Genomic DNA, 11309 nt, shown 5'->3' on the forward strand with positions numbered 1-11309 from the left:
TGTTGTACAGCCCTGGCAAACGATGCCTCTGGCAATTAGGACAGGTATAAACCTGCTCCTTTTCAATTTCCCAATGAGAGAATTGCAAAGTTTTCAGTTTCTAAAAGACTGGAAACAAAGCTTTCTGTTTCAAAAAAAGAGTTTTTACTTGCAAGTAACATCTTCTGTGGGTGGTGTGCACCCGGGCAAAGAAATCTCAGTAAGCCTTGATTATCACGGGATTTCTTCCCCCTCAAAATAAAATGTTGAATGTTTTTACAGAGACTTCAAGGGCAGTTTTAAGGATGTTTATATTTCAGACAACCTAAACATTGTTTGGAGCAAAATGAGAGATTTCATTTTGGGACAAGCAAGTTGATGAATTGCAGTCAGCATCTCGTTCTCAAAGAAGGCATTTTTACTGGGGGCTTTTAGTCTAGACATACAAAGAGGGAAGGAGGAAAGGGGAAAGCATTCTCACTCTAACACTCGTCTTTTACATGGTACCTTGGCCAGTGCAGTAAATAGTTCATAATAAATCAGACTTACAAATACTCACTCGTCTACTCACTCAAGGAGCATAATGATTTATACTGCCTAAGTCACAAAGATTACCGATGTATTTATTTTCTTGCTTATGCACTTTCAAGCTAGTAAAACATCTTGTGGGCCAGTAAATGTTTAGTACCAACTGGCAAAACATGAAGAATCATATCAAAGGTTGCCCTAAGTTGCACGGTTTTGTTGTATAGGAAATACTTTTTGACTTAACCTCTGACCTCTGACATCACCAAGGTCAAGGGAAAAGGAGAGAGCAAAGTAGAAACCAAGGTTTAACCCTTAATAAAGTAGCTCAAGGACATAGAAGCACAGGGAAATTGGAGGGCAGAGGAAGCGTATCAAAATGATTATTAACTGTAAACAGATGAAGTAATTAGCTTAGCTAACAGTTGTAATACAGGAATATTGGCAGGATGAAGTCAGCGGTTCTTGGCAGGAAATGTTTTATAGAGATGACAACTTCTAACAGAAGTGAAAGAACATCAATCAATTTAGGGCAACTTATAAAACTCCAAAAAGCAAAATTTAGTGTTTCTGGACTTGACAAATTTGCTGTGAGAGTTTTTTTTTTAAGTATGACTGTTTCTGTGTGGGGAAGTCTGTGGATTAGGCTCAAAACAAAATGGCAGTGGCTGCCTGCATTTCCTCTTCATATTGCAGAATTTTCCTCTACATTTTGATGTGTACTGGATAAAAACCAATTGTTTACTCAATATATAATCTTTCTTCTTACTCTCCAAACTTGCTGACCCAAATTAATGTGGAACAAATAGCAACTGGCTTTAAAACCTGGTCTTTCTAAGAAAATCCTTAATGGTTGCATAGAAATATGTTGCATTGCCTCAGACACTTACATTCAGGAAATGTTTGCTGGACACTCAGATGTCTACAGAGAAATTGTTAACTTACTGTTATTGATATTTTTATAATCTTACTCAAAAGTCATAACTCAGGATAATGAAAAATGTTTGGTGCAATAATGATTAAAATCCACAAATATTCTGTTCCCTGGCCGCAAATACAACACCTATGCAAAATTTTACACATCTACAAAACAAAGGGAAAAGGTTTTTCCTAGTCTATGCCATTAATAAGCACATCTGGAATATAACCCTTAAGCAGTCTTTAATCATAATTTAAAGCTACTTTGCATAAAAATAAGAACATTCCACAACAGCTGTGGAAACATTGAAATAAATTTTCTTCTTCTGGGCCGGGCACGGTGGCTCATGCCTGTTATCCCAGCACTTTGGGAGGCCCAGGCAGAAGTATTCCTTGAGCCCAGGAGTTTGAGACCAGCCTGAGCAACATAGTGAGACCCCATCTCTATTTAAAAAAAAAAAAAATTACCTTCTTTTGAATACTTTGTTTATGCAAAAATCCTTTTGCTTTCTTTAGCTATTTTTTTAAATGCAGTGTTCCTGCAGTAAGAATTGAACCTGGCATGGAAAACTGATCAAACCGGTAGTCCTCAGAAATCATCACTCCTGAAACTTGCAATTAGTTTATACCTAAAATGATTTCCCTATTTGAAAAATGTGCCTACCATTTCCAGATTTTAAAAAAATGGCCCTTTATCCCAGAAAGGAGAAATTCATTGTATCCCAGAGACCAGCATTACTTCTGTTGCAGTATTTTCAGTGATGGAACTCTGTTGAGGCTACAGACAAGAAAAGCAGGAGAGCATTTTAGGAATCTAAGATTTTTTATTTTACTTTCCTCTGGGGACCTTCTTTAATAGTTTTTTTCTTTCTTAAGAACCTATCCTTGAATCATAGGTAAAGAAATAATCACAGAATGAGTAACTGACATTAATAATCACAGCTTCACACTATAGTCTTACTGGATTTTTACGTTTTTCAGGGTTTCCCCAAGTGGTGGTCACATTTCTTACACAACTCTGCAGTGTAGATAGACATGTATAGTCATTACTGGGCTGACACGGTGGGACTGAGACCTGCTAGTGCCGTGGTTGGCATCTATGATTAGTGAGGTCCAAGATCAACCTTCTTTACATTAAACATGCCCTAGCAAGACCTTCAACCCAACTTTATTAAGCTGATGCTAACGCACACAAAGAAGTCCTAACAATTCTATGTTTTTATATACATAATGCAAAAATAAAGACAAGATCAGGTACAATTGCTGTCAATATCTCAACTTATTGTCTCCTTTTGAAAAACATAATTCCCGCCTAGCATTTCCACCAGAATCCCTTGCTCTTGCCAGGTTATATTGTTTATATATGTTCCATTTAACATGTTTTTTAAAAATCTGCTGTAGAGTTTTCCTAGTTGGAGGAAATAATCACTTTCCATTAAGTTAAACAGTCCCGATAAATTTTAAATGAAAATATCTGACAGAGAAATAGAAAAACTCAGCCTTGTGGTCTTGCCGGTCACTTAGCTACAGATGGAACTTGAAAAACTGGTTCCTGGTCATTGCTGCTGAAGAGAGCCCTTTATTTCTGTTGTGACAGGACTGACTCAAGATACTCATGAACGTGGAAAACTCCTAAATGTGTCATTCTGAGTTCCTGAGAAGTTGAACATACACAGATGACAAAAAAGAATGCCATTTAGCCATAACTACCCTTTCTAGATTACCAAGTATTTGTAGGTTTATTGGCAAGATAGCTTAAATTACGTATGTATTTCTGGCCTGCAACATCATGTAATAGAAGAGTTGCAGAATTCTTTGCAGTTAAGAAAAAAAAAAAAAGATAAGGACTTATTAAAGCTGACATGGACTGTGATTTTTGCACTCCGTACCACACACAAAGGAGGGCATCGTGGTGACACCACCCCTGTGTTTGTATTTCTTGGTTCCATTTAGAATTCACTGGCCTCTTCTACTGCAGACCTGCTGTTTAGTCTGCATCTGGAAATTAAACCCAGAGCTTCAGCTCTTAGCATTAAATATTGAACTTTCTTCCAGCACACACCCTCATCCATGCCTGTATAGTAAGTCTGATTAAACTCAAGACATTTTAAAATTCCATCAGCCTTAGGAGTTAAGTTTGGATATTGGGCTGTCTTCCTCCTCCTTTTTAATCTATTAGAAGAAGTGTACCCAAAGGTATATATACCACATGCATCATGTTGAACCAAATTAAAAGAACAGTGATATGTGCAAACTATATTTCTGGGTTTTAGTGGAGTTTTTTTCCAAACTTAGCTAAAACAATGAGTTACATTTATCAAATTCCTTTTTTCATGAACAAAAGAAAAACTAAGGCAAAGTAAGTGCACTTTTCCAGTAGTTATAATAAAAATATAGTTTTCCAACTCTGCCCACCCCTGTTCCCCACTCATCAGTTTTCTGCCAAGAAACCTCACATGTTTCGGCCCGGTACCTCACTTGTCTTTGTAAAGTAGCTGCATGATGGCTGGGAGCTTTTCGGTGTTTAGAGGCCTTAGTGGCTGGTGCTCATAAAAATGTCACCGTGCACTTGCACTTTGAAAAGTCCTTTCATCTGAACATTCCTGAAGCCCCATTCCAACAGGTAAGCCTTCTTGACCAAAGAGTGGCTGTTTAGCCTTCCCACCCTGCCACTAGACCCTAATGAGATGTGTGCAACTCTTGGCTACAGTTTTCATCTCCTTATTACTTCAAGGCTCCTCTTGGGAGCTACACAAGCTCAAAGGTCCTTTGACCATTAGGTGACAAATGAGAAGCAATTTTTTAAAAACATGTCAAGGTAAAAGCTATTGTCTATAACACACGGCCATGTCTTTTTTTCTTTTTTTTTCTTTTTATTTGAGACGGAGTCTTGCTCTGTCGCCCAGGCTGGAGTGCAGTGGCACCATCTCGGCTCACTGCAAGCTCTGCTTCCTGGGTTCACAGCATTCTCCTGCCGCAGCCTCCCAAGTAGCTGGGACTTCAGGTGCCCGCCACCACGCCTGGCTAATTTTTTGTATTTTTAGTAGAGATGGGGTTTCACCGTGTTAGCCAGGATGGTCTCGATCTCCTGACCTCGTGATCCGCCTGCCTAGGCCTCCCAAAGTGCTGGGATTACAGGCGTAAGCCACCATACCTGGCCCCATCCATGTCTTTTAAGTTATTAAAGATGATCGAAGCTCAGGGGTCCCTACCAACTCCTCAGTTACAGAAACAGGACTCTTTGGGGATGTCGGAGCCAGCTGCTTATTCTCCATGTCACCTGTTTCTGTTCCCTCTTTGCACCACAGAAGCACCCTGTGTTAAGTCTGGCCGAACCATGACACTTAGGAGAGCTGAGAATGGGTTTTCCAACCTCATTCCTGACAGGGAGGATTTTTCTTCTCTTCATTGAATGCACACTTGTCGTACAGAATCCGCACATGTAACCAAAGACCAAGTCACTGGGAAGGTGAGAGCTGAGGTTTGCAGAGGTGGGAAAAGCCACCTGCCCCACCACATCAACCCTTTGGGAACCATTCCTTCCTTTGAAGGGTGGCCAGCCAGGGCTATGCCAAGAAGAGAGAGCTCTCCACTAACTAGACATTTGAGAAAACCATCATTCTGAGCATGTGAGAGCCACATTGCCTCCAAACCTTTAATGAAGTGAGACTTCCACCCTCTGACATCCTAGTCATGTTCCCAGTACTAACTGATAGTTACTAGTAGAATTCTAAGGTCAGCAGAAAGATACATTAATAAAACAACTATCCACATTGTCTTATCCACATTGTCTTAAGGACAGTTAAGGAAACAATATGACCTACCACCATTTTCATCTGAATTGTGTCTAAAGGGTTGGAATTCAGGAGTTTCAGCAGCTCACATCAAGCAAAGTTTCTGGGAATGTTTTGAAAAGCTGATCACATTCCATCTAGTACAAGGTCTTTGTTAAGTTCATGGCCTGAAAATTCTGTTTCCTTCCGGATTTGAAAGTACCTTGGTTTCCGGATAGTATAGAAAAATCAAACAGTTAGAAATTGAATAATTACAGCACAATCCAGGAGGTTTGCCAGCTTGACTGAGTTCTATCAATTTTTTAACCGTAAGAAGGAATAAAATATACTTGCTGGCTTTTATGCCGTGGTCTGTTTCAGAGTAGTCACCTAAGTCCACACCTCATGTCAGAATGAGAAGTGAATCATCTGGGGACAAACGAGGTGTGTATCTGCCTAACAGCTTAGTGACTTTCTGGAATTTAAATATTAAGTGAAAGGACAGGGTCACAGGGCAGCTGATCTTTGGCTCGTCTCTCTTTCGTCTGCCCATGGCTTTGATCATGCTACATCCTCCTTTGTGGCCAGGGCTCCACAGAGAATCTCAGGGTCATGGCCTGTTGCCTAGTCAAGAGGTATAAACCTGCTGCTTAAATATGTGAAGCCCACAGTTTGGGGGTTGGGAGTTAAAGGGGAGGTAGCCTCATACGTTCCACTTTTCCCACAAAACCCAAAGCAGACTAAACAAAACCGGTGTGAAATCTCATGACTTGATGCTGCCGTGGTTATATTTTTCAAGCTGTAATCCATTCATTTGTATGTGTGTTTATTCCCAGGATTTACAGCTCGCTCAGTCTTCGGGGGGAAAGAGAATATTTGAAACCTTTTGCAAAGGGTTTGAAGTATGCAGTGGCCTGTGATTAAAGCCCAGGATAGAGTGTGTGTGTGTGTGTGTGTATGTGTGTGTGTGTGCATTCATGTGAATGTGTGAGTGCCCATTCTTGTGGGGTTTTTTTCTCCCATTTGCTGCTTTTACGCAAAAGCATCACACATGGTAGCATTTAGGAGCCCCTTCACAGCTGAAGTGTTTCAAACACTAATGAATGGAAGTTTGGTCATATAATGCAGACAAGCTTTAAGGCATGCTTTACTGAATGGTGTACTGTAGTGACCTGGGAAAGGAAGAGAGGTATAAATTGTGTCGGTTAGCCACCCAGACAAAATGAAGCCATGTGGAAAATCAAATCTATTAAAGTATGAAGACTGTTATAAGCTGTTTTAAGCTGGCCATTCTTAAAGGGGCTCGGTCTGCTGCAGGAGTAAATGTTTACCTCTTCCCCCAGATCTTTTTCACATGCCGTCTTATGAGACAATGTGCAGCATTTGATAAAAATCATCCTCTCACTAACGACGCTTTTATCGGAAATGTTTATTGTCTCCGCTTTACCACCCATGTCCTGAAAGGTACTGCACATTTGTTAAATAAGCAAAAGGAAAGAGAACTTTGCGGCTCAAGCCGGCTCGCAGAAACCCCAACAAATTCCAGAGCCATAAGGAATCAGAAAAAGGAAAAGGGAAGGAGGAGTTAGATTTATATGAAGAGGGGGCCTTGCAAAAACATATATATTAGATTTTCTCTGCTTGGCTAGCCCACCATCAAATGTTTGGTCGATGCGGATTAGTATTGAGATTGAGCAGTTAACGCCGAACTTGGGTCACTGTCTCAAAATGTGCTTTAATAAATACAAGGGGGAGGAAATGGATTTGGGAAGGCTCGTTGTCAGCTCTGCCCCTGCTCTCACACTGCCTCTGCACAGTGGTGTAGGGGTCACACACAGGTGTTGGCACCAGTACCAACCCGACCCAAATCCTGGTCCCACACACCCTGTAATTTTGGGCACATTACTTGTCTGTGCCTTGGTTTTCTCAGATGTAAAACAGGAATATTAACAGAAGGTGCCTAAGCATCTGGTAAGCACTCTAAAAATACCAGCTATTATTACCAGTATCTGGAGGGTGGGTTCATTTATACCTTAAGAAAGGATCCCCCTAACTCTATTTTTCTTGTGTGCCGGTTTTTAAAACTGATGAATGGCATGCTGTCGGGAAAAATTTATCCATTCCTACTTTTTTTCTAATTGGTGAGTAAGCGTGCATTGCCCTGACATTCTCTGGACAGCAAACAATTGAATTTGCTGACCAGCCGCCATGATGTCAAGCCTTAAGTCAACAGTGGCTAATGACCGCTCTGGGAAAAAACAACACCTTGATTCCTCAATTACGGTTTAAGAAGCCCTGGGAATGAGGGCTCGCCAGTCATCGTCATCCTCTTTTGAGGCAAGCATAATGTGCTGTGGAAACAGGTTACCTCTGCACTGTTGGCAAGAGCAGCCCACACAGTATAACGATTGAGCGTCATGGCTGTGCCCTTTGTGTGTTCCAGGAGGAAACTGAAGAGACATCCTCACAAGAGTCTGCCGAAGAGGACTAGGGGGCGCCAACGTTCGATTTCTACCTCAGCAGCAGTTGGATCTTTTGAAGGGAGAAGACACTGCAGTGACCACTTATTCTGTATTGCCATGGTCTTTCCACTTTCATCTGGGGTGGGGTGGGGTGGGGTGGGGGAGGGGGGGGTGGGGTGGGGAGAAATCACATAACCTTAAAAAGGACTATATTAATCACCTTCTTTGTAATCCCTTCACAGTCCCAGGTTTAGTGAAAAACTGCTGTAAACACAGGGGACACAGCTTAACAATGCAACTTTTAATTACTGTTTTCTTTTTTCTTAACCTACTAATAGTTTGTTGATCTGATAAGCAAGAGTGGGCGGGTGAGAAAAACCGAATTGGGTTTAGTCAATCACTGCACTGCATGCAAACAAGAAACGTGTCACACTTGTGACGTCGGGCATTCATATAGGAAGAACGCGGTGTGTAACACTGTGTACACCTCAAATACCACCCCAACCCACTCCCTGTAGTGAATCCTCTGTTTAGAACACCAAAGATAAGGACTAGATACTACTTTCTCTTTTTCGTATAATCTTGTAGACACTTACTTGATGATTTTTAACTTTTTATTTCTAAATGAGACGAAATGCTGATGTATCCTTTCATTCAGCTAACAAACTAGAAAAGGTTATGTTCATTTTTCAAAAAGGGAAGTAAGCAAACAAATATTGCCAACTCTTCTATTTATGGATATCACACATATCAGCAGGAGTAATAAATTTACTCACAGCACTTGTTTTCAGGACAACACTTCATTTTCAGGAAATCTACTTCCTACAGAGCCAAAATGCCATTTAGCAATAAATAACACTTGTCAGCCTCAGAGCATTTAAGGAAACTAGACAAGTAAAATTATCCTCTTTGTAATTTAATGAAAAGGTACAACAGAATAATGCATGATGAACTCACCTAATTATGAGGTGGGAGGAGCGAAATCTAAATTTCTTTTGCTATAGTTATACATCAATTTAAAAAGCAAAAAAAAAAAAGGGGGGGGCAATCTCTCTCTGTGTCTTTCTCTCTCTCTCTTCCTCTCCCTCTCTCTTTTCATTGTGTATCAGTTTCCATGAAAGACCTGAATACCACTTACCTCAAATTAAGCATATGTGTTACTTCAAGTAATACGTTTTGACATAAGATGGTTGACCAAGGTGCTTTTCTTCGGCTTGAGTTCACCATCTCTTCATTCAAACTGCACTTTTAGCCAGAGATGCAATATATCCCCACTACTCAATACTACCTCTGAATGTTACAACGAATTTACAGTCTAGTACTTATTACATGCTGCTATACACAAGCAATGCAAGAAAAAAACTTACTGGGTAGGTGATTCTAATCATCTGCAGTTCTTTTTGTACACTTAATTACAGTTAAAGAAGCAATCTCCTTACTGTGTTTCAGCATGACTATGTATTTTTCTATGTTTTTTTAATTAAAAATTTTTAAAATACTTGTTTCAGCTTCTCTGCTAGATTTCTACATTAACTTGAAAATTTTTTAACCAAGTCGCTCCTAGGTTCTTAAGGATAATTTTCCTCAATCACACTACACATCACACAAGATTTGACTGTAATATTTAAATATTACCCTCCAAGTCTGTACCTCAAATGAATTCTTTAAGGAGATGGACTAATTGACTTGCAAAGACCTACCTCCAGACTTCAAAAGGAATGAACTTGTTACTTGCAGCATTCATTTGTTTTTTCAATGTTTGAAATAGTTCAAACTGCAGCTAACCCTAGTCAAAACTATTTTTGTAAAAGACATTTGATAGAAAGGAACACGTTTTTACATACTTTTGCAAAATAAGTAAATAATAAATAAAATAAAAGCCAACCTTCAAAGAAACTTGAAGCTTTGTAGGTGAGATGCAACAAGCCCTGCTTTTGCATAATGCAATCAAAAATATGTGTTTTTAAGATTAGTTGAATATAAGAAAATGCTTGACAAATATTTTCATGTATTTTACACAAATGTGATTTTTGTAATATGTCTCAACCAGATTTATTTTAAACGCTTCTTATGTAGAGTTTTTATGCCTTTCTCTCCTAGTGAGTGTGCTGACTTTTTAACATGGTATTATCAACTGGGCCAGGAGGTAGTTTCTCATGACGGCTTTTGTCAGTATGGCTTTTAGTACTGAAGCCAAATGAAACTCAAAACCATCTCTCTTCCAGCTGCTTCAGGGAGGTAGTTTCAAAGGCCACATACCTCTCTGAGACTGGCAGATCGCTCACTGTTGTGAATCACCAAAGGAGCTATGGAGAGAATTAAAACTCAACATTACTGTTAACTGTGCGTTAAATAAGCAAATAAACAGTGGCTCATAAAAATAAAAGTCGCATTCCATATCTTTGGATGGGCCTTTTAGAAACCTCATTGGCCAGCTCATAAAATGGAAGCAATTGCTCATGTTGGCCAAACATGGTGCACCGAGTGATTTCCATCTCTGGTAAAGTTACACTTTTATTTCCTGTATGTTGTACAATCAAAACACACTACTACCTCTTAAGTCCCAGTATACCTCATTTTTCATACTGAAAAAAAAAGCTTGTGGCCAATGGAACAGTAAGAACATCATAAAATTTTTATATATATAGTTTATTTTTGTGGGAGATAAATTTTATAGGACTGTTCTTTGCTGTTGTTGGTCGCAGCTACATAAGACTGGACATTTAACTTTTCTACCATTTCTGCAAGTTAGGTATGTTTGCAGGAGAAAAGTATCAAGACGTTTAACTGCAGTTGACTTTCTCCCTGTTCCTTTGAGTGTCTTCTAACTTTATTCTTTGTTCTTTATGTAGAATTGCTGTCTATGATTGTACTTTGAATCGCTTGCTTGTTGAAAATATTTCTCTAGTGTATTATCACTGTCTGTTCTGCACAATAAACATAACAGCCTCTGTGATCCCCATGTGTTTTGATTCCTGCTCTTTGTTACAGTTCCATTAAATGAGTAATAAAGTTTGGTCAAAACAGATCAAGGAGGGAGACACTCACAAGTCATTTTGTTGCACCCCTTGCACACATCTTGGCACACATGTACATAAAGTGTGTTTTACATATCATACTCCTTCAATCAACTGCCCTGAGCTCGCCTTTCAGATTTTGACATTTAATTCTACAGAGACAATCTTAGAAGAAACATGAAGAACAAGCTGTAGCTCCAAACTACAGAATTTTTACTTCAGGCTAGCACCTACAAAGTTTGTAAGGGAAGTAACTAATGCACTAGTCGTCTTTGAAGTAACATTGGAAAGAGATCCGGAAGATTGATGAATAAGAAATGAAAGCCACGAAGAGTCTCCTAGATAGGAGCCTTTTAACTCTAAAAACTACTAGCAGAGTCAGAATGATTCTACCAAGTTCAAGGTCAACTTGACACTTAAGTTGCTAATTATGAATAAATCTAGGATTTTTAAAAAGCTAAAACTTTCGGTTTTTACTATCACCGTTGTTACTCAAATTTTCTTCATTTAGCTTCTTAGAAGGAGAAATTTGTTTCTAGGAAAAGCTTGCCAATTTTAAGACATCTACTGTCAGGAAATTTGTTAAACGTATTATTTCATTCCTAAATTCATTCACTTATTCTCACAGCCAATAT

At 39.3% G+C, this 11309-nt stretch overlaps 1 protein-coding gene across 1 annotated transcript in view; it reads left to right on the forward strand.

Moving 5' to 3' along the window:
- HMGA2 (high mobility group AT-hook 2) overlaps nt 1–10685 on the forward strand; it is a 141832-nt gene extending 131147 nt beyond the window's left edge. The window contains exon 5 of the mRNA NM_003483.6: nt 7639–10685. Coding sequence (NP_003474.1) covers nt 7639–7686 — 48 coding nt within the window. The 3' untranslated portion in view covers nt 7687–10685. The remainder of the gene's footprint in view (nt 1–7638) is intronic.

Source organism: Homo sapiens, chromosome 12, assembly GCF_000001405.40.
Source record: "Homo sapiens chromosome 12, GRCh38.p14 Primary Assembly".
Lineage (NCBI taxonomy): Eukaryota > Metazoa > Chordata > Mammalia > Primates > Hominidae > Homo > Homo sapiens.